The sequence below is a fragment of the Homo sapiens genome, chromosome 4 (genome assembly GCF_000001405.40).
Source record: "Homo sapiens chromosome 4, GRCh38.p14 Primary Assembly".
In the NCBI taxonomy this organism is placed as follows: domain Eukaryota; kingdom Metazoa; phylum Chordata; class Mammalia; order Primates; family Hominidae; genus Homo; species Homo sapiens.
This window is the reverse complement of record NC_000004.12, coordinates 38,366,866-38,391,494: the sequence shown is the minus strand read 5'-3', so window position 1 is coordinate 38,391,494 and position 24,629 is coordinate 38,366,866. Positions and strand designations below refer to the sequence as shown.

General features: G+C 40.7%; 1 long non-coding RNA gene across 1 annotated transcript, besides 1 other annotated feature; it reads right to left on the bottom strand.

Moving 5' to 3' along the window:
* Positions 5,713-6,007: an enhancer, noted in NCBI's record as "tiled region #4229; K562 Activating DNase matched - State 5:Enh". NCBI's record gives its function as "activates a minimal TATA promoter and a strong SV40 promoter by Sharpr-MPRA in K562 cells {active_cell/tissue: K562}" and the evidence as "EXISTENCE:reporter gene assay evidence [ECO:0000049][PMID:27701403]".
* On the bottom strand, positions 5,736-24,581 carry LINC02513 (long intergenic non-protein coding RNA 2513). Its single transcript, NR_149123.1, has 2 exons — positions 24,465-24,581; positions 5,736-6,118 (listed from the first exon to the last, which is right to left on the bottom strand). It is a non-coding gene; the product is annotated as a long intergenic non-protein coding RNA 2513 (long non-coding RNA).

Below are 24,629 nucleotides of genomic sequence, written 5' to 3'. Positions count from 1 at the left end.
TTAAACAACCAGATCTCATGAAAACTCACTCATTATACAGTATCAAGGAGGAATAGCACTAAACCATTCATGAGAGCCCCACCCCCATGATCCAGTCACCTCCCACCAGGCCCCACATCCAACAGTGGGGATTACAACTGAACATGATATTTGGGTGTGGACACAGATCCAAACCATATCACCTTAAAACAGAAGGGCTCCTTCTAGAGAAGCCTCATTATGCACTTTTTTGTTTCTGTCAGTCCTGCTCTGGGTCCTTGTCTGAGCTTTGCACTCATATGTTTGTTCCTTGTGTTAATGAGGGTGCCACTAGCTGCTATTGCAAAACTCTAATATATAGATTGCTTAACAGCATCAGCTTTTATTTCACATTTCCATGAACAGCTAAGGCAATTTCAGGTCAGATAGGGTTGGATGGAGCAGGCACTCTGCTCAAATACAGACAGACTGGAGTTCCATCTTTCTCAGAACAGGGATCCTGAGGGTGCTGTATTAGTCTGTACTCACACTGCTATAAAAAATACCTAAAACTGGGTAATTTATTTTAAAAAGTGGTTTAATTAGCTCACGGTTCTGTGGGATATACAGGCTTCTGCTCCTGGGGAGGCCTCAGGAAACTTACATTGATGGTGGAAGGTGAAGGGGAAGCAAGCACCATCTTCACATGACCAGTAGGAGAGAGAGAGTGCCAAGGGGTAGGTGCTACACACTTTCAAACAACCAGATCTTATAAGAATGCTATCATGAGACAGCACTAGGGGGATGGTGCCAAATAATTAGAAACCACCCAATGATCAAATCACCTCCCACCAAGCCCCACCTCCAACACTGAGAATAAAAATTCAACACGAGATTTGGGTGAGGACACAGAGCCAAATCGTATCAGATGGTCTGTTCATTGACATTGAACTGGCAAAGGGGAGACAGCCTGGGGGAATGCACAGGAGAAGTTTATATAGGCCAGGCCTAGAGGTTATATAGGCCAGGCCTAGAGGTTGTGCTTCTCACTTCTGTTCACATTTCATCAGCTGGCATTTGGTCCTAGGACCACACCTTAGAATGAGGAAGGCTGGCAAACATGCCCAGCCATGTGCCCAACAAGGAAAAATGTTTCATTTTATCCCCATTCCTTTTCTTTCTTTTGTTTTGTTTTTGGATTTTATGGTTGTTGTTTTATGGCCAACAGTTTGAGGGCTGAAAGTTGCCAGTAGAAAAAAGGATAAGTAGAATCTCCTGGTATGATTTGTGTAGAATATTAATTCTAAATATGAAATAATCATAACTCATTTTTATTGTGTGTTTACTATGCACCAAACTGTACTAGGCCCTTCCCCTACATGGCTGCATTTAATTCTATAGCAGCCTTGCATGTGGGTTTTGAAGTACATCAACAGTTCATTGTGGGAGGATATGGCTCTGCTCTTCTAAAGGGAATAGGGAGCAAACGGGCTGGAGCACTGCAGGTCCATTCTCCACCCTACTTTCCTTTCTTGTGTGTCCAGGAGGTTGATTTTCATGGACAATACTTCCAGACTTCATTGTCCTCTGGCTTCTGGTTGGATTTGGCTAATAGGAGGCACCAATAGGAGATCAGAGTTGGGTATAATGTCTGTAGGCTGCTCTGTGGTTTGACAGTAGCTGTGACTCTATGGTCACATAGCTGCCACTCTCCCACTGCTGCAGATCTCACCAGATTGCCAAAGAGGGCCCTCTTTCTACCCCTCCAGGCCTGGGATTACAGCAGCTTTCTGCTGCTGATACTGCCTTGGTGTTTCTCTACCCTTTGACTGGTCCCTTCTTCCTCCCCACACCTCCACAAATAGTGCTTTCCATGAACTCTCTTCAATTACTCCTTGGAGAGAGCTGTCTTTCTCTCACTGGTTCCTGATTGATTCAACCAGAACCTGAAGAACTTATGTAGCATCTTTTTTAAAAACAAACAAACAAACAAAAACCTTTATTATAGTTTCTACTTTGGAGTCAGGCAGACCTAGTTATGGACCCTAGTTTGATCACTTACCAGTTTGTGTGATCTCAGACAAGTAACTTAGCCCCTTACTATGAGTGAGCCATAGTTTACTCACTCAAAATAAAAGATAATGGTTTGTGAAGATTTTTAAAAAAAGAATATGCAAACTGCCTAGACCAGTGTTTGGTACATAATAGGTAATTCATAGAATTGAAAATGGGAAATGATGTCATGGAAATATGTCTGATATGGTTTGGCTGTATCCCCACCCAAATCTCATCTTGAATTCTCATGTGTTGTTGGAGGAGCCCAGTGGGAGGTAATTGAATCATGGGGGCAGGTCTTTCCCCTGGTGTTCTCCTGATAGTAAGTCTCACAAGAGCTGATAGTTATTATAAGAGGGAGTTTTCCTGCACAAGCTTTTTTTGCTTGCTGCCATCCATGTAAGATGTGACTAGCTCCTCCTTGCCTTCCACCATGATTGTAAGGCTTCCCCAGCCATGTGGAACTGTAAGTCCAATTAAACCTCTTTCTTTTGTAAATTGCCCAGTCTTGGGTATGTCTTTATCAGCAGCGTGAAAATGGACTAATACAATGTCAAACAATAAATTATTAAATTAGTTTAAATTAATCTATACATTGCGTATTGAGCTGACAGACATTTTTAAATCCCAGTGTTGATAGTGATGTAACAAAAAGGCACACAATATAAGTGAATGCAGAAAATCTGGTAAAACCTTTATGAACGGCATTTTATCTATAGGTCCGTAAAGCCTATAAAATGTGCATTCCCTTTAATCCAGCAATTCACAGCAATTTTAGGAATTTATCCTAAGGAAATAATCAGATAAAGATGCATCTACAAACATGTTCACACTATTACTGTTTACCATGGTTAAAAATGGAAAATAACAAATATTTGACAATAGGGAATGGCTAGATAAACCTTGGAACATCCATGCAATGATAAGTAGATGAATAATTGTTATAGAAAAATGGCCATAGCACATTGGTAAGTAAAATAATCAGTTACAAAACTATTTCTGGAGCGTTACTCCAAATTTTTGTAAAACAATAAAAAAGAGGAAAAATTGAAGGAATATATGTTGAAATATTGATTTTAGTTATTTCTGGATGGTAGGATTACAGATGCTATTTTCCCCCATTGTTATTATTTTTCCTGTATTTTCTAACTTTTTAAAATAATGAACTTTGTAAAGATAAGATTGTCCTTGGCTGTAAGTAACAAAAATTCAAACAATAGTGGTTCAGCAGCTCAACAATGCCAAGACCAATGTCTGAAATGTTTATGGCTTTTCCTTCATGGCCTTCATGTGGTCATTGTACCCACCAGTTATCACACATTCATTCAAAGAGAGAGGAAAGGAACAGGAAGGACTGTCTCAGGAAAACACAAACGAGAACGCCATCACAGATTTAACATTAACTGGCCAGATTTGTGTCACATGGCCATCCCCAGCTGGAAAGTGGAAGGAGGGATGGGGATGTGTGTGTTAGGAATTGGGGCTGAGTCAGCCACTTTGCAATGTCTGCTATAAAGAGGTATTGCTGGGAGGCTGAGGCAGGAGAATCACTTGAACCCGGGAGGTGGAGGTTGCAGTGAGCCGAGATCGTGCCACTGCACTCCAACTTGGGTGACAGAGTGAGACTTTGTCAAAAAAAAGAAAAAAAAAGGTATTGCTTTGATAATTTTAAAAATTAGAGTTATTAAAATGTTAAAACAAGTTATTTCTTTTTTTCTTTGACTACTTGAATGCTCTCCGTCCTCCAGCCACCCTTCCACCCACTTAGGCTGCAACAGCCAGCAATTTCACATTCACTGAGCCAAGAGAGTGAGGAAGAATGAAGAAACCTGAGAGGAGTCTGCACCCTTTTAGGTGGTAGGAGTGGAGAGAGGGCAGTGTGCCAAAGGACTGGAAATCAGCTTGCTTATTCAGTCAACTTCATCTAGATCTCTCTGGTCTGAGGTTCTGGCAGTGAAAGCTTATCAGCAGAGGGTTTTGCAACTTCAGTACTTCTGGCCCTGCTGTTATTTTTTAGTCTGTGCAGAACTGGCCCTGGTATTTCATTTGGCTGCTTTGGTTTCAGCAGGCCTTCCAAATAAATAATACACCCATGAGACCTACTGAGGGAATGGACTAGATTGTCTGGGTTCAGTTCTTGGCTGTGCAGGTACCTGTTATGGTCCTTGGACCAGTTACTTAAGCTCTCTGTGTTTCTGCTTCCTCAAATGTAAGATGGGAATAATAAATAATACTATATATTTCATAGGGTTGTTATAAAAGATTGGATGAGTCGGTATTTGCCAAGTGCTTAGAATATGCCTATCACATAGTAAGCATTATACAAGTATTTGTTTAAAAAATAAATAAATATGAGAAAGGCAGAAACAGCCATAAGCTCTCTGGGTCCCATTTGTTTGAGGTTACAACTTACTTGGCATAAAGCTGAGGCATCTAAAGCTACAAAGTGGGTCAAATTTTCTTTTGTTCCATGCTGGCTGAACCACGTGGTCCCAGAAGTAGGAAGGAAAGAGAAGGCTTAGGAAGCTAAGAGCCATGAAACACCTGCTGAGTGGCAGGACTTCCTCATGGCTTTCTGTGTAGCAACTCAGTTAAGTCTAATCAGGCAGGTGCTATCACTGCCCTCATTTTACAGATGGGGAAACTGAGGCTCAGAGAGGTGAAGTAACTTGGCCACAGTCACATGCTATGAGTGGTGAAGCTGAGGTTGAACCCCAGCAATGTGTGACTTTCAAGTGTGGATATTCCACATTAAGAATGATATTTACATGGGAGACTTCACTTTACGTGGTTTTAAAAGGTTAAAGTGTACATCAATCTCTAGTTTAAAGATACTGAGGGCGCTTTTATTTAACATGTCCTAGTAGCAAATTTTCCTGTAAAATGTTTAACTTCTCTCTGTTTAGTTTGGCAAGTTTGAATTTTTACATGTTGTGTTTTCTTACAGTATAGTGCATCTCTATTGTTCAAAAAAATAAATTTCAGGCCTGGAACTTAGTTAAATTCTGAGGTTTTGTGGGTTGTCCTTTAAAAAAATTTTTTTTACTTCTTTTCTTCCTTTCTTTCTTTGTTCCTGCCTGCCTCCCTGCCTTACTTTTTCCTTCCTTCCTTCTTTCCTTTCTTTTCTTCTTCCTATTCCTCCTCCTCCCCTCCCTCCCTTCCTTTCTCTCCCTCCCTCCCTCCCTTCTTTCCTTCCTTCCTTGCTTCCTTCCTTCCTTCCTTCCTTCTTTCCTTCCTTGCTTAAGTCAGGAATACATGATCTAAAGATCTCTCTGTGTCCTTCTAAAATAGCTGAAGCTCAAAGCCAGTAATTACTAGCAAAAAAATGACCATTTTTGTTGCCAATTCTGAGCACATTATCTTGAAGCTCAAAGCCTGGCCTAAAACAACTGAAATTATAAATAATTAACATCATGAATATCTCACAGGTCCAAATTCCTCCACGAGTAACCGCAGAATTCCTTTCTGTTCTCTGATCTGTCAATGCTACCTTTGCAAATGCCAGTTCCAAAGACATAGAAGCAAATATTGCTCAATGTTTTTATTAATGACTATGATCATGTTCAAGCAAATTGTGCATGTTCAAGGCACATTCCCTGTTCTCTCTCTTTAAGAAAAAAAATCACTAAGCCCCACCCTACCCCACCCTTAGCTTTGAAAGGTCTGAAGTCAGTGGTGCCTGAGATAGAGCCAAGATAAAACGAATTGAAAACAAAATGAGCTTTTTTTTTTTTTTTGAAACTTTTGTTTCCAGCTTATAGACACTCCCACCTCAAGTTGCAGAATCCTAGGGATCTGACCCAGTGTCACCTTCAGCCCCAATGGGGCCTTTAGGCCTGTCCTATGTAGGCTGAGGCCCCTCCCAGGTCAGTCCCTACCCCCATTGGAGGCGAATTAACTCTTTCAGGGGAAGACTTGTGCTGGCTTCCAACAACCCAATCTTCCTACTCTGGAGGCTAATCTTTTCCCCTTTTATGCTTTTGCCTTCATAATAGTCCTCATTCTTCTTCCAGAGGGTTAGAGGGTGAAAATAGCCAAGAAGCAGTTGCAAGAAGGCTCTGAAGTTCACATCTTGTGGGTAGGGCCGGCAGTAGGCAGGAGAGACCTGGGAGAGAGATTAGGTGAAACATTAGCCACAACCTTTTGGATTCAGTCCAGTGTCTTTCAATTATTTCTTGATGTGCTTTGGGTACTGGGCTTATTTGGCATGAGACAGGCATCCATTAGAAGATTTCACAATGATTTGCCATGTTACAGTTCTAAACATGCGAACTCATCACCAAAGAAAATTTATGTTTTTACCGCCTTTTCCTCCCACCTCTCCCTGGGGAGCTGCAGGAAAAAGCAATCCAAACGAATTAATCAAAATGACTAGGTTATGCTCTAAAAATAATAAACGTTGCCGTAGTCTGGATCTTTTTCAAGTTTGAGCTTATTTTGTGAGCTTGAATATCGATACGTCAAAGCGCATGTGCATGTATATATTTTTATTAGAGGGATGTGGACTATTGCATGAGGACAGGTAAGTTATTAAGATACACAAATGCAATTGCTCTCATAATACTAGACTGCATTTCAACTAAGTTAATTAAGCTACTTGGCCAATGAAGAGGCAAAGGGTAGGTGCCTTAATGATTCCTTAACTTGTCTCATAAGCCAGCCTTGCAAATTAGGATAGGCTACAGAACTTGAGCTCTGAAAACAAAGCAGGACAGAAACTGAGGTGCAGACTTAGAACAATAACAAAAAGGAAAAATGTCTCCTTGAGCTTCCCTTACCTACTGCATAAGACATTGCTAGACAAAAGCAAAAGGACTGGAAAAAGTTGAAAATTTATTCAAAAAAGTTAGTAAATAATAACAGAAAACAAGCAAACAAGAAACTGTTATTATCTTCATATTTTCAAAATATCTTCTAAGAGATCAGCTCCAAAAGAAAGTTTTAATATAAAAAGAAACCTGTAGCTGAATCCCGAGTTTTCAAGGCCTTCTTGTATTGTGAGAAGGCAATTAGATCAACATTAGGGCGAGGCCGAGAGGGAAAAATCTGTATTGGGAAAAAGGAAAGTGGTGATGATCAGGGTAGAGTCTCTTCTTATTTTAAATGATGCAGTTATCTGATTTTTAATTGACCTTTTTCCCTAATGTATACCCCAAATATCCTCAAGCAAGATGTTTAAAAATCCAGATCCAAACCATCCACAGCCCTTGATGATAATTTATCCATGTTAGGCAGGGTGACGAGGCCCCTGTGATTGTCAGAAAAAATTAGGAGCAAGGATTCCCCAGCTTTATTGTGCATGTCCTTTGTCTCTGGATCTGATCCCTGATGTTATTGGGCTGAATCACAAGGTTATTTCCCACCTAAGAAATCTCATCTGGCTTGAGAATGCTCCTTAGATAATTTCAGCGTCTTTATTCTCCAGAGAAGGTTGATTTCAGTGTTACTAACCCCATCCTACTTTAGCCAGCCTCCATTAATCATGGCTGGCAGGAGAGACTAGAGGGTCATGGGTAATTGAATTCCAGCCAACCTTCAAACCTAATTCAAGTCAACCCTTTGACCTCTTTGCTGACCAAATCTGCTGCCAGAGCTAGTAAATAAATATTGCTTTTTAATTAGACGAAGCCTTTTTCGAGAGCCTACTATGTGTTAGCTTTGTGAGAGAGGCAACCATTATCTCACTTCATTCATTCATTCTGTCCACACTTCCATTGGAACCCAGACACAAGGAATTAACAGATAGTGGAGAGGAGTATAAAGGTCAACTTGGGGTCAGCCCAGTGGGAAAATATGTGCTTTGCAGACACCCTGACTTCCTATCTTTGAAAGAAGATAGATCTTTAGCATTGACAGAAAGGCTGAAGTCCTTTCTGCACAGGAAAATGAAATGATAAACATTTTCCCTTCTCTCGTGAAGCCATGTAGGATCTTCCGACTCCAAAGACTTCTATTCAAGTCCTCCTGCCACCATATTTGACATGGAATGTCGGGTAGGTGATTTTACCTTTGTAGGCCTCAGGGCCCTCACCTGTGACATGGAACAGGGTGTGCACCACTAACCTGGCAAGGTCATTGTGATACAATGTGTAGGGAAGCTCCTTGTAAACTGCTAGGCTCCAACCACACAGGAGATTGCTGCCAATGGCTCTTGCACACTCTCTGTTAAAGATGCCACCCAGCAATGAGACCAGTCAAAGACAGGGCTGGGGAACAGACACCTAGACAGAGAGTACACACTCATTTTAAATAATGAAATTTTAGCTGGATTTTCTCATGAAATTTGCTTCTTTTGTTTTGCTTGGTCTCTGGGTCACCACCATGCCTAAGTATACACATGATCTGGATTTTTTCTTTTTTCTTCCTTTTTTTTTTTTGGCCAGAATTCTTTTGTGGCATTTAGAAGTCTCCAGAAAACATGAAACTTACTTTTCCCTTTCAGAGGAGGCCACCTTTTCACCTATTTCTCATCCTCAGACAATTAGAAACCAGCTCACCAAGGACTAGCAGTGTTCCACTATCACCAACCCTCAAATTTCATAATAAAGCTAGCACTGAGTTGCTACAATTAATATTCTCAGCAGCAATGCTTTTGGGGGGAAATGATGAGTCAAGGATGTGCAGAGGTTTGCTTAGGAAAAAACCAAATGTGCTTGAATAATTTACTCTGTCATTTTAATTCCAAAATGATATGAGGCCCCTAAGGCTTAGCAAGCAACCGGAGGACCTGAGCAGCCTGGAGAGGCTGTGTTTAAGTGGTAATGTTAATGGAATTATCCGTTGCTGCTGGAGCACTGTCTGCTGTCGAGAGATAATTACCCAGGCAAAGATGAGGTATCATTGAAGATAAACGCTGAAGCAGGGACCTCAATGTTTATTTTCCATGCTAGGGCGTAATCTCCTCCGTTGTTTAACTTCATTAGCATCCCTGCTAACCCCGGGCCACACAATTTCACTTAAAAGAAAGAAATTAAATAACCCGAACATACATGTAATTGTAAACAAAGTGGCAGAAGATGTGGGTTGGGCTGCTTTTGCTGCTACAGTCAGTGGCAAACAAGCCTTCTCTTTTACCCTATCCTTCTCCCTGTGCAGTGAAAATGAGAGCAATGTTTGTTGAGTGCTCACTGTGGGCCATATCTTGTGTTAAGCATTTTATATATGTTGTCCTATTTAATCTCCACACATAACAATTCCAGGAGATGAGTACTAGCAGAGGAAACTGCGTGTCAGAAATGTTAAGTGACTTGTCCAAGGTCACTAGACTAGTGAGCCATTGAGTGAGGGTTTCAACCCTGGCAGACAGGTCCCAGCTATTCACAGAAAATCACTGGACCACGCATATTCCACATGGAACTTCAGCTTGGTCTTCTTGATTTTACAGCAGAGTCCAGGCGATTTTATCACCACTACAGCTGCCACTGCTAACTTTATTGGAAGGACTGCCAAATCTCCCATCCAGTACTTGAATCCTTGGTCCAGTTCTGTGTTTCTGTTTTATTGAGAAAGAATTTGCATTCAACCCCATGTGGTCAAGACCGAGCTTTTTAACTCATCCCCGAAGGCCTTCGCATTGGCCAAGTTCCCGGCCTTCTTTGGCCAATCTGTAAGCAATCACTGTCTCCTCACCCCAGGCTCTTTCACCCAAAACTTATTATTATGAAAATTACATGCAGAAAACCTGAAAGAATATTTCAGTGCACAGCTGTCTAGCCTCTACCAGATTCAACAATTGTTAACATTTGCCATGTTTAACTTACAAACCAATCTTTCTATTTTTCTTTCTGAACCATTTGAAAGTTGGTTTCAGAAATCATGACACTTCAGCCCTAAAAGCTTCCCCGTGCATCTCTGAAGATTGTAGGACATTTCCTGCATGACCACATTAGCATTATCAGAGCTGAGAAAATTAACAATAATTCCCTTGCTATTATCAATTATCCAATTCATAATCATAGTCATTTCTTAACTGTTCTCCAATTATCTCTTATAGCTGTTTTTTAAAAAAAGAAGTATCCGCATTGTGTTGGTAGTAATGTCTCTTTAATCACTGGTAATCTGGAACATCTCCCCAACACCTTAATTTTTCCCCACCATGTTTAATTTTTAAGGAATCACTAGTTTTTGAACAGTTGAATTGCTTTCTGTTCTGAAGGGTCTCAAGTGGTCTTTAACTCTCAACCAACCCTTAGCAAGATGGTGGCTCCAGAATCTCTACATGGGAAGGGCTTGAGGAGAGATGCAATCTGGTTAAGGAGTCCCGGTGAAGGCCTTTTGCATAAGAAACATATGTTTTAAAAAACTTAGATTGTTGAATTTTTTTTTTTTTGACATGGCTGCTGCCCTAACATAGAGGCAGTCTGTGCTATAGGAGAGGTGATAAATGGCAATTTGTGAATGGTGCAGATTCTGAGCAAATTGCCTAGGTTCAAACATCAGCTTTGCTACTTCCAAGATGTGTGACCTTGAACAAGTTACTTAACCTCTCTGTTACTCAGTTTTATCATTTGCAAGATAGTGATGATAATAATAATAGAATCTAAGTCAAAGAGTTGTGCTGAAGTGAATTAATAAACTCAAAGCAGTGAGAATCCTGCTTGGAACAGAATATTATCTATAAATGGTAACCATTATCATTATTAATATTCTTTCCCTACTTTCTATCAACTTCCTTCTCCAGTTACTTCTTAGAACTGGAGCACCTAACATTTCTGGCTGCCTGCTAGTTTTGCCTATTGCCTTTTTACTTTATGTTCAATTTATTCGGGTTGGCCCAAGGAATTCTTGTTCGCCTTCAACCTCATCTTCATTCCTCTCTCTAATCCCCTGTTGTTGTTATTTCCAATCAAATTATTTTAAAAATATGCATTTGGTTCTAGTTTCTTCTATTATCTTGTATGCCTGGTTTAACTTCTGCCCTTTTTGCACTGAGACATAGATTCATCCTTGGATTTAAGATGCGATTAAATCTGGTGATTCTAATCCAGGAGCACTTCCCTACCGAAGTGACCCATGAAGTTTCTGGTTCCTATTCATTCATTCACTCACTCAGTCAATTATTCAACACACTTCTGAGCCCCCATGAGGAACTGGGCCCTTGGCTGGACACCAGGGATACAGCAGTGAACTAAACATGGTTCTGGCTGTGGAAAAATAACCAACAAATTGCTAAAAGTGAATCTGAACCAGGTAGTTCTGAAAACTCCCTGCACCTCACCACATATGATAATTCTGGGAGAGTGATTGAAGGGGAGGTGAACAGGTTCCTTTCCCCAAAGTATCCTCCACAGTCCTGAAATTTCTCCTAATAAAGTACGGTCATGCACTGCATAATGACATTTTCATCAACAATGGACTGCATGTACCATGGTGGTCCCGGTGGTCCCATAAGATGATAATGAAGCTGAAAATTCCTATTGCCTAGTGACTTTGTAGATGACATAGTGTGGTAGCGTAATCATTTAATTTTTAAAAATATATTTAGTGTAGCCTAAGCATACAGTGTTATAAAGTCTACAGGAGTGAGCAGTAGTGTCTTAAGCCTCACATTCACTCACCATTCGCTCACTGACCCACCCAGAGCAACTTCCAGTCCTGCAAGCTTCATTCATGGTAAGTACCTATACAGGTACACCATTTAAAAAATCTTTTATACCATATTTTGTTGTACTTTTTCTGTGTTTAGATACACAAATACTTAGCATTGTGTTACAATTTCCTACAATATTCAGTACAGTAACATGCTGTCTAGGTTTGTAGCCTAGGAGCAATAGGCTCTATCATATAACCAAGGTGTATAGTAGGCTATGCCATCTAGGTTTATGTAAGTACACTCAATGATGTTTGCATAAAGATGAAAAGGCCTAACAATGTGTTTCTCAGAATGTATCCCCATCATTAAGAGACGCATGACTATACTACTAAATAATAGTAGCTCGGGTCACTTCTTGTTTTCCTCACAAGTCCTTTAAACATTTCTAGGCCAGGCACGGTGGCTCAATGCCTGTAATCCCTGCACTTTGGGAGGCCGAGGCAGGTAGATAACCTGAGGTCAGGAGTCTGAGACCAGCCTGTCCAACATGGTGAAACCCTTGCCTCTACTAAAAAAAAAAAAAAAAAAAAAAGAGATTAGTCAGGTGTGGTGGGGGGTGCCTGTAGTTCCAGCTACTCGGGAGGCTGAGGCAGGCGAATCGCTTGAACCTGGAAGGAGGAGGTTGCAGTGAGCCAAGATCGCACCACTATACTCCAACATGGGCAACAGAGTGAGACTCCATCTCAAAACAAAAACAAAAACAAAAATAAAACAACAACAACAAAAAATGTCTAGAATCATTCTAGAATCATTTAAAACTTTAGCAATGACTGCTTATTTTCACAAAAGTATGTGTATCGTATTAGAATAACCATTACTTGGCACAATTTTCTCATCTGAAGAATGGGTATTATAATAGTACTCACCTTATAGGGTGTTAAAAGATTAAACGTGTTAATATTAGTAAAATGCTTAAAACAGAGCATGGATTTGTGTTTGGTAAATAAATAAAAATAAGTTTGTTGAGAGATCATGATGGAATCAAAAGAGAATAAGACTCGGAGAAGATGAGCTTTGAGAGGGGTAAAGGGAGGAAGGTAGAAGCTTGGGCTTCACTCAACTGCCAAATGAGTTAGGAATCATTTGAAGAAATTCTGGAGAGGTCAGAGGGAAAGTAAAGATTAACTGACTACTTTATAGTTTTTAAAAAATGACCGTCTTTATTTTCTTTATTCTGAGTTCTGGACTCTATAATCAGCCAATTCCAGAACAAGCATGCCGTCATGTTGTGCATATTGGGAAAGAAACTTGTTGGGAGACAATTTTCTGTGAGTTTCTCTAGTTTCTACACATCTCGTAAGCAGAGACACTGAGTATCTTTGCTCTGAAATATCTTTTTGAGAATGTTTGTATAGTGAACAGCCTTGGAAGATGGAGATAGTCCCTCTCTCTCCAGGCAAAGGGCAGAATTTTTACTGCTATTACAAAAGATTCAGGTTCCCTAAGTTCAGGTTCCTCTTCTGTAACAAAACTCCCTGTGTGAATGGTGTCACCTGGCCCTTTTCTCTTCACCCTGTGAGAATTGGGTATCAAGAAGCTAACAAATGTTGATAGTGTGGCTTCTACTATTGGTGTAAGTACTAAGGGAGATTTCACAATCATATAAAGGAATTACTATAGTCTTCCCCATCCCTTCTTTCTCTTCCTCACTCAGTTAGGCTATTACCTATAAATAGTAACTTTTTCCTCTCTTCTTAATCTCCTCCTTACCCTCACCTTACCCCAGTTCCTGCATAATTTCAGCCCCATGCCCCATTTCAACAAGAACACAGACTGTACATTTGACCTCCCAACAAATGGGCCCATTTGTGATCCTGGACTGGGAAAAGGAACGTCACAAGGGAGTCCCTCCTTTTTGGCTTTTTCTCTCCCTTTCTGGCTTTCCAAAGTATTCCTATTTAGTGACTTCCAAATGGGTATGGACTTAGAAGGTCTCCATTTGCTGCCCTTTTACTATCTTCTTTTTTTTGCCCTAATCCTTCTCTCTGTTGTCTTTGATCTTTTCTAAGCCTTCCCGAGGCCTTTTTCATGAATGGGGAGTGTATCCCAGCACCTGGCCCAGACTCTGGCTCATGGCAGATACCCAGTCACTCTAAATTCCCAAACTCTTATGCTCTACCCTTCTCGTTTTCTGGACCATCCTAACCTTTCTCTCCTACACTGTCTGCATCTCTTTTCACTCTTAAAGCACTTCAAGGAAGAATCTAGAAGATAAAAATAAAAGCAAAAACTGAAACACATTAAACACAACATAACTTTATTTTCAAGATAAACAATAAAAATACAGAATGTGTGCATTTTTTTGTAAATGGTTTTCCACAGATGACAGTGGTAATCTAATAAATGTTTACAGGACAAACAATTGTGGTTTCACAGCCTTCTACTCCTTGAGCATTTAAACATTTCTACAAAGCAATTTCTGTCACCAACATCCAGCACAAGGGTTGTTTTGGATGATTAAGTTTGGACCTGTTGCACAGCATTTTGGGACTGATATAAACACATTGCTGTGGTAAAATGATCTTTCCAGCTTGGGTGGTTGTTGAAGTATGAGTCAGTTGGGGGAGCTTGGGGGAAAAGACTGGGAGATACCTGGATGCCCATGCATGTGGCAAACTCTCAGGGGAAGGGAAGAGGGAGGATACAGACCCGGTATGCACAGACCACTTTCTCAATATCAGACAGCTGGTTCATGGGGTCTCTGGGCCAACAGCAAGACCCAGCCCACCTAGGGACCAGGAATTAGAAACAGGGAGCATCATTTTTTAAAAAAAGCAAAATCCACATTAGGAATTTTTTAATTGCATAAATTATGTGTGAACATTGTGAAGACATTAGAAGATATAACAAGGAAATTAATAAAATTATGCATGATTTTGCTACTCAGGTGTAATCACTGTTAACATTTGGACAATAGTTTTATTTTCAATGTGTATGTATATTTTACACACCTATGTACACCACATAACTGGGGGACATAGCACACATTCTCTCATAGATTCTTTTTTGTTTTGCTTACATTGTCTTTTGACCAAAATTATATATCAGCAGCAAAGTTTTCTTTCATGTCACTGTCCCAACCACCTCACTAGATAGGTGTTATTATTTTCCCCTCTTTTTTCAAATTTTTTTTTTGAGGCAGGATCTTGCTCTATTGCCTAGGCTGGAATGAAGTGGCATGATCACAGCTCACTGCAACCTCAAGCTCCTGACTCAAGTGATCTTCCTACCTTAACCTCCCGAGTAGGGACTACTACAGGTGCATTCCACCATGCCCCAGCTACTGCAGCACAGTTTTAAATGGCTACATGGTATTTCATTGTGCTGATAGTTTCTAAGTTATAATACCTACTGCCTATTTTATCCATTTTGGTTGTCTTCAAGTTTTAATTTTTTACTGTCATAAACAATGCCATAAGAAAAGCAAATTTAAACTACAATGAGATATCATCTTATACCAGTTAGAATGGCTATGACTAAAAAGAAAAAAAAAACAGATGTTGGCAAGGATATGGAGAAAAGGGAATGTTTATACACTGTTGGGAATATAAATTAGCACAATCTCTATGGAAAATAGTATGGAGATTTCTTAAAGAACTACAAATAGTACTACCATTCATTCCAGCAATCCCACTACTGGGTATCTACCCAAAGGAAAAGAAATCATTATATCAAACAGAAACATGCACTCATATGTTCATCACAGCACTATTCACAATAACAAAGATATGGAGTCAATCTAAGTGTCAATCAGCGGATGGCTGGATAAAGAAAATGTGGCATATATACACAGTGAGATACAATTCAGCCATAAAAAGGAATGAAATCATATCTTTTGCAGCAGCATGGATGGAACTGAAGGCCATTATCTTAAGTGAAACAACTCAGACACAGAAAGATAAATATCACATGTTCTCACTTATAAGTGGAAGCTAAAAATGTGTACACATGAACATAAAGTATAAAATGATAGACAGTGGAAACTCTGAAGGGTGAGGGGTTGAGGGGGAAATGGATGATGGAAAAATTACTTAATGGATACAGTGTACATTATTTGGGTTATGGATACACTAAAAACCCAGACTTCACCACTACACAATATAGCTATGTAACAAAATTGCACTTGTATCCCTTAAATTTATACAATAATAATAATGATAACCCAATGCTGTAGTGCACATCCTTATCATACTTCTTTGAATGCTTGTCTGACTATATTCTTGAGATAAATTTCGAGAAAGGGAATTTTTAAGCCAAACAGCATGCATATGCTTAGAGCTTAGATATGTATTACAACCATGCCCTCCAGAAAGTTTCAATCAATTTACAGTCCCACCAGCAGTCAGACTGGGTTTTTGAACAAAGTTCAACCTCCATTCTAAGGAGGAGTGTGAGAATTACTTGCCGCTGCAAATCACAAGATGGCTTGAAATATGGGCAAATTGAGAAATACTGTTGTTCATACAAGGCTCTTCTTTATTGCTGTGACCTAAGTCACTTCTACAATAAAGAAAAGAGTATCCTTGTGTAGGTGGATGTAATATATATTGGTCATGAAAACAACAAAAGACCAAGAGTTTTCAAACTTGTGGAGAGATAAACTCAATACAAGAATACTGGGTCAGAAAAGTAAGTTAGCAAAAGCAAGTATATCCATTTTTTAAAAATTCTGGCTACATAACAAATTACCACAAACTTAGTGATTTCAAACAACACACATTTATTATGTCACAGTTTCCAGCACAGCTAATCTTGGTCCTCTAAAAGGCTGCAATAAAGGTGTCATCCATGGCTAGGTTCTCATCTGGAGGTTCAGTTGGGGAAAGGTGTGCTTCCAAGCTTATTTAATTTATTTAGTTGTTACTCATTTTTTTGCAGCTATACAACTCATGGGAACTTGATTCCTCAAACTCGTCAAGGAAAGCAAGACACTATAGCATGTCTGCTAACAAGACAGTCTTACATAATGTAATGTGATTAGAGGAGTGATATCCCGCCAGTTTTGCCATATTCTATTGGTTAGGAGCAAGTCACAGGGCCTAACTATGCTCAAAGAGAGGGAATTATACAATTGTACAAGAATGTGGCCAGGCGCGGTGGCTCACACCTGTAATCCCAGCACTTTGGGAGGCCGAGATGGGTGAATCACAAGGTCAGGAGATGGAGACCATCCTGGCTAACATGGTAAAACCCCGTCTCTACTAAAAATACAAAAAAATTAGCCGGGCGTGGTGGCGGGCGCCTGTAGTCCCAGCTACTCAGGAGAGTGAGGCAGGAGAATGGCATGAACCCAGGGGGCGGAGCTTGCAGTGAGCCGAGATCGCGCCACTGCACTCCAGCCTGGGTGACAGAGCGAGACTCTGTCTCAAACAAAACAAAACAAAACAAAACAAAACAAAACAAGGATGTGAATTCCAGGAGACAAGGATCATGAGGCTACTTAAAGTCTGTTCATCATAGTAAACAACTCTGAAATCTCTCTCCTTAGAATGCTTTCCGCGTGAGTAATCAAGGAAGTTGAAAACTTGGGAAAATGTAAAATCCAAAACTCATTGACCAAAAAATATTTATTCTAGGTCTCTCATTTCAAGTGGCGGTAGATAACACAGCATTCTATAAATAAAATGTGGCCTATGATAAATGTGGTATTTTCAAAGGTGTACAGGGGAGCATGTGTTTTGTTTTTTGGGGAATTCACTTCCACATCCCTATGACTAACATATTTTCTCCCAGCTTTGTCTTGTGGAATGAGGTGGCGTATTCCCAAACCCATGTCGTGATGACCACAGTTGAGACATTTTCCATATGAGAAATTGTGCTAGCTATTCTTATGTCTCTAATTACTATGTCTCCCCAAGACCTAGCCATACGTCTCCATGGCCTTTTAAAAAATACAAAGGGAGCCAGGCAGTTAAAAATATTCTTTTAAAAAAGTAATATGAATCATGTTATTCAAAAGGAACCGTAAAGGAGTTCCCTACCGATATCCGCATTTTTCTCTTTTTAAACCTCTAAGGAAAGTTCATGCTCTGTATTTCATACATTCCCCTTTAGTCCACTTAATTATAGTCTGAGTTGTAAAGTAGCTATAATACATTTTCTTAGGAAAACATTGTGCATTTGAAGCACCTTCATATTATTGTTTGTAATTAACATTATTTGACATAGCATCAAACACTTGGAGGTGAGAGAAGAGAAGGGGAGAAGATTCCTCTTTCAGTATTTAATCTTTAGTCCCCTTCTCCTATTTCAACTGATTTCCTTCCTAGACCTTCAGTTAGAGGAAAGCAAACTCTGATGGTCCATGAATGAGTAATAAATGACCAAGAAGGAGTGTGAGCTTCTCATTCAATGAATACTGCAGAGGTTTCTGAAGGCTTGAGCTCTATGTATCTGCTTCATCAATTAAATTATTCCTTCAAAGGAAACAAAAAAGGTAATTTTTTAGTCACAGTGAAGATGGTGATGGTTGGATAAAAATGTTTCCTGGGTGGTGGTCAGAGCTTGTCTTCTTCCCCTTCCTGCTTAACTTCCGCCGCCCCACCCCCCCACCCCCACCCGCCCATTCTCTAAGGCAAGGAAGCTGCCTGGCAGTCAGATTAGCCTGAGAAACCCTGAAAAGGAAGTAAAGGAATTACATTCCCCAGGGGACTGGCAGTGCAGAGTGGACCTGGCCAGGAACACTGTTTTGGGTGTTGTGCTCTTCTTGGACAGGAGAGGTGAAAGAGGAACTAAGGAGGGGAAACAATGTGCTTGGATTAAAGGGTCTTGGACTGGGAATGTGGTAGGAGAGCTGCAGAATAGGTCAGGGGCAGGCTGGACCTTCTAGTAACAATTGCTGTAGACTTTACGCTTGGGCCCCTTTAAATGTTAGAGGGTGTTGTTGTTGAAGACTGGTGTTCCCATTAGCCTGGGCTTATTTAAGTGTTCTATCATTCTGACCCCTTATAAGCATGTGGGAGTTCCTCAGAGCTGCTGTAACAAAGTTCCACAAACTAGGTGCCTTAAAACAACAGGAATTTATTGTCTCAAATTTCTGGGGGCTAGAAATCTGAAATCATCCACCCTGTGAAACTAGGGAAATCCTTCTTTGCCTCTTCCTAACTTGTGGTGGTGGCTGGCATTCCTTGGCTTGTAGACACATCACTGCATTCTCTGCCTTTATCATCACGTGCATTCTGTGCATATGTGTATTTTTGTGTGTGTCTATGTAGGTGCGCGCATGTGCGTCTTCTCTTCTTATAATAAGGACACTAGTCATATGGAATTTAGGGAGTACTAACCCAGTATGACCTCATCTTAACTAATTGCATCTGCAAAGACCCTGTTTCCAAATAACATCACATTCCGAGATTCCGGGTGAACATACATTTTGGAAGGATATTCTTCAATCCAGTGCAAAGCAGAACATATATATGCACACAATTAAAACTACTAGCCAATTAACTTGAGTTTTGATGCCTAATGAGTTAGACTTGGAAAGAAAGCCAGTAGTACTCCTCTTGGGAAAGGAACTGAGCTGAAATTTTCAACTGCTGTAGGTTTTTCCAAGCCAGTAGACCTCTCCTTAAGCAATGTGCTCTATTTTCTGCTGATTCTATTCTCCAATCACCTCCTTCCTACACACACTTATGCTGCACCGCTAGCAAGGAGAAGGAAGACTTTGATGATTATCTCCATCTTTATCTCCAACACCCATAGACAAGGCATTTTGCTTGCCCTGTTTTGAAGAAGCAGGACACTGGCCCCATCAGCGTCCAGCATCACAGAGGTAAGCCTGGCCAGAAGCAGTGCTGGGGGACTGGAAGACCAGGGGCTACTGGGCTATCTTGCTGTAGGAGCCCAGGAAGGTGAAAAGAGTACAATGATGTTGGAATACAACTCCAGTAGTTGAAAACTCCCCACTCCCCTTAGTTAAGGAAGACTTACAAGAAACTAATTTACCAAGTGCCAGAAGATGTTTAGGGCCATATTTTGCCCAGAAAAGCAGTCTGCATGATTCAGTAGAGTTCAGTCTCAGACTTACTCACTCTAGGCTCAGAAGTGCAAAGAAAATGTAGCTCTATAATTTTATGGTCTTTAAATGTTTCCTAACCCCCACACCACTGACTAATGAGAGATTCTGGTAAACTGAATTTTAGACCAATCTGGTATACTCAGGCTATTCCAGTAAGCAGTCTCTTTGGAGTGAGTCAGTTTTTCCAATTTACAATATTCTTCCTGGTTCTCTCTAAGATGGTATCTGGGAATGTGGAAGGAAGGCACTTTGGGCCAGTGGGGGAGAGGGAGGCCCCTCAAATTGTGCTAGTGCATAGCTGTGAGCTAGCTGGCATTTGTGGGGGTGATTAGACTGCTATTCACACAGGCTGTTCAGAGGAAGTGTCCTGCTGATGTATGCAGCTGGGGCACTTGTGGTCTGTTTTCTCCTGGCTTGGACAGGGTTCAGGATCCTCCCAGCTGACTCAGTTCCATCTCAGCCCTCTCTGGCACTCTGGACTCTCTGGGATCTAGCTGGGATTCCTTTTCAGGTGCCAGCTTGGTGGACAGATCCACAATATACCCTAGCATGGCCATTCTTCCCTCTAGGCCAGGGGACAGGTATAGCAGGGCTCTTGAGAGCAGAGCCTATGGCCCCATTTGTCCCAGTCTGAGCTTCTTCACTCTGTCTTTGATATTCTTAGTTATATCCTCTGGTCTAGACCAAGATAGGAACCTGAGAAGGATGCAAAGGAGGTACAGCGTTGCTGGACTGCCCTGGCTGGCTCCACTCTCAGAATCAGGGAAAGGTCAGGGATTGGAGATGGAGTAAAGGTTTAGATGAAAAAGGAAAGCAGCAAGAATCTTAAGATAAAGTCACTTTGACCCCACCCCATCCCTAATATTACTGTTTGAATATGTAGTCCATAATATTGGGCATGGAGGAGAGACAAATTATGGCAGTAAAAAGACAAATCAGAAATTAAGCATTGAACTCCAGAATATGATGGGCATATTCTGAATCTGCACTGCCCTCCATGGTAGCCACTAGCCACATGTGGTTATCGAGCACTGGAAATGTGACTGGTGTTACTCAAGATTGAAATTTTGAATTTCATTGAATTTTAATTAATTTAAAGTTAAATTTAAATAACTGCATGCGAGCTGGGTATGGTGGCTCATGCCTATAATCCCAGTGCTTTAGGAAGCCAAGTTGGGAGGATCCCTTGAGACCAGAAGTTCAAGAGCAGCCTGGGCACCATAGTGAGACCCCTGTCTCTACAAAAAAACTAAAATATAAAATAAATGAGCAGGGCATAGTGGTACAAGGCTATAGTCCTAGCTACCTGGGAGGCTGAGGCAAGAGGATTGCCTGAGCCAAGGAGTTCAAGGCTGCAGTGAGCTATGATCATGCCACCCACACTCCAACTTGGGTGATTGATTTATATTGATTATATGACTTATATTGATAATAAAGTAATGTAGTGAGACCTTGTCTCTAAAATAATAATAATAACAACTTTTAAAAGTACATGTGGATAGTGGCTACCATATTTGACAGTTCAGTTCTATACATTAACCTTTTACATGCCCTGTTTTGGTGATCTGGCAAGGCCCATAGATACCTCCTAAGATTGTGAGTTTTTAAAATTATTACTATTATTATTATTATTTTGCGGGGAGGAGGTCTCACTCTGTCACCCAGGTTGGAATTCAGTGGCGCAATCACAGCTCACTGCAACCACTGCCTCCCAGGCTCATGCAATCCTCCCACCTCAGCCTCCTGAGTAGCTAGGACCACAGGCAAACGCAACCACACCTGACTAACTTTTTGTATTTTTTGTAGAGATGAGGTTTTGCCATGTTGCCCAGGCTGGTCTTGAACTCCTGAACTTAAGCAGTCTACCTTGGCCTCCCAAAGTACTGGGATCACAAGCATGAGCCACTGCACTCAGCCAGATCAATGTTTTTAAATGCATAAAATAAGTATATAGGATTACAATGGAAATCAATTAATTTAATATTTTTATTGTTCTTTGGTTTTTTATTAGATTTTTAAAATTAATTAGAAAGTTCTTATAGTATAATACTCTATGTTGTTCTTTATTAATGCATTAAATATCAATCTAGCAGTGAACCTAATAACTATCACAATTTTGAAGTAACAATGAACATAAATGGTATCTTGACATATCTGATACATATCATAATGTCTTGTGAAAATGCCTATGATTTACATTAACAATAAAATCATGTGTACTGCTAATACTACTGTGGTTTAGGTTCAGTTAGGAATTAGTGAAATAAACATGTGATTTTTTTTTCCCATCTAAGTTCACAAGGTCCCTGAATTCTCTTCACAGGTTGGGGGTACATGGACCCAGGTTAAAAAGTCCCACTCTAGATTTTTGTAGATAAGACAGGTTGATGAATAAGGTTAATTCCTTCTAGAAATATATATGGAATGCCTCCTACATGCCAGGTACTGATCTAGACACTTGGGCTGCAGCATGAACAAGAGAGACAAAGTTGGAGTTTTCAAAAAGTTTGTATTTAAGTGAAGGAGGACAATAAATCAACATTCAGATAGTTTTAAATGGTAGTAAATGCTGTGAAGAAAATATAATAGAGTGATCTAATAGAAAGTGACCGGAGAGAAAGTGGCTATTTTAAATTGGGTGATGGGCAAGTTCTCTCCAGGAGGCCATTTGAGTTGAGGCTTGATTGAAAGATGGAGCCAGCCTCGTACAATCTGAAGGCAGCACCTTCTGAGCACAGAAGGCCCTGTAGCTAAAGGCCCCATAGCTAAAAGGGATGGGTGTGATTGGAACAGGCTAATGGACAGAGGGAGCACTGTAGAAGATTGAGGTCAGAGAGGTGGGATGGGGTGGCAGGGGGAGGCCAGGTCAGTGCTGGAGCACTGGGTTTGTGAGTACTCATTATAGACAGCTGGGAATTTAGATTTTATTCTAAATCCACTTAGAGTCAAAGGTGGATTACATGATGCTCTTGGTAAAGGATGGATTAAACGGGGAAGTGGAAGCAGGGAGTTCATGCAGAGCCTGATGTAATAGTGCAAGTGCGATAGTGGCTGGTGACTCAGGAGGGCATAATGCAGAAGGAAAAAAGTGAATGAATTTAGAGAATCTTTTCAAGTAGGGCTTATTAGCCACAGGAAGGGAGCATGAAGCCCCAGCCTGACTCAGGGCAGTGTGAATTTCTGAAATGAAAGAGTGGTGGGGGAGGCAGATTTGGGGGCAGAGTGAAGATTTCTTTTTTGGTTTAATTAATGTCTTTTGGGTATTAAAGGGGAGAGGTTTGAATCTATAAATCTGAAGTTCAGCAGAGAGGTTAAGGCTGGTGCTATGAATGTTGCATTCACCATCATCAAGATAGTATTGAAGCCAGGGGACTGAGAAAGATCAACTAATAACAGTGTTGTACAGAAAAGGGTGAGTCTGAACCGTAGGGAAACTGAGTATTTAGGATTCATTTTTTGATTATCTACTGTGCATCTATTCTTGGTCCAGACTTTCTGCTTCCAAAGGCAGTGCACCATTCTCCGACCAAAAACAGCCCTTCTACTGATCTGGTAAATTGACTGTGGGTTAAGATTATGACCCCTACAAAGACCTCTAATAAAGTATAATTGTACTTTTGCAAGAATCTATTACCAAATATTTCCATAACTAACATCACAATGAGGCTTCCCAGGCATTTGCCTTTTCTTTTGTTGTTGATTCCAGTATCTGAATCTCCTTCCTACATTTGAAGATATCCCCCACTTTATGAGTCCCATCTTTCTCTGTAGATTTCCCAGGGAGCTATCTTAGGGAGTGATCTGAGGCTTTGTTTCTTAGAACGCGTTCTCCACGCCTGGCTTGCTGGCCTTCCTAGAGATCCTATGAGCTACTTATTATCCTTTAATAAATTCCTTTTCTGCTAAGCCAGTGTTGATGTTTGGGTTTCCCAGGAAACAGAATCCCAGACAGAAATTTTTGTGCAAGGAGGTTTTGGGAGGAGTGTCCTCTGGATCAACATCTGTCCCCTGGATCACAGGGCAAGGTACACAGGAGAGGGCAGAGAGAGAACTTGAACTGTGATGATGTTCCAGTAGAATCCTCATCTGATACCACGGGGAGCTCAAGAGCTGGAGGGCCCTTTAGGGGACTGAGATATTTGTATCCCTTCTCTTCTCCCTGGTCATTGAATACAGGCTGCCCCAGAAAGAGGGCAAGCCCTTGGATGAGATGACTTTCTTAGGCTAAGAGCCACATCAGGTCAGGGATACAGCTGAGACCTATCATCCACTTGCACTCCCAGTCTCTAAAGCAAGCGTTACAGTTTACAAATCCATTCTTCCCCTGGATTCTAGCAATAATCCAATCATTTTCTTCATAGTTCAAATGAGAAACTGAGGCTCAGAAATAATAAATGAACATCTAGAACAAGCTTGTCCAACCCATGGCCCACAGGCCACACGCAGCCAGGATGGCTTTGAATGCTGCCCAACACAAATTTGTAAATGTTCTTAAAACATTATGAGGTCTTTTTTGCTCATCAGCTATCATTAATGTTAGTGTATTTTATGTGTGGCCCAAGGCAATTCTTCTTCTTCCAGTGTGGCTCAGGAAAGCCAAAAGGTTGGACTACCCAAAAGCAACCAAAGTTCCACACTAGATATTGCTGACAGTAAACATCTACTCCTACCCTCCTAGCATCTGGAAGGCAGCCAGGGTTCTGAGTGAGATTTCAGTTCTGCCAGTGAAATGCCTTTGATGTAGAAAGAGGTAGAGGTGAAATGCAAACCCTCATCTTATGATTCCAAATGCTGTTTCTTTGCCTACACCATATTGAACATTGTTGCAGAGAAAAAACAAACCTTTGAGATGGGCAAGATGTCCAAGAGCCTGAGTAGAGCCTGGGCAGTTCAAAAATCTTGAGCCATATTACTTTTGGATCTTTCCTCAGGAGTTCTCAGAATTTGGGACAATGAATTCCAGTTGGAGCCACCATTTGTGAAGGAATCTCACCTTATCCTCCTATG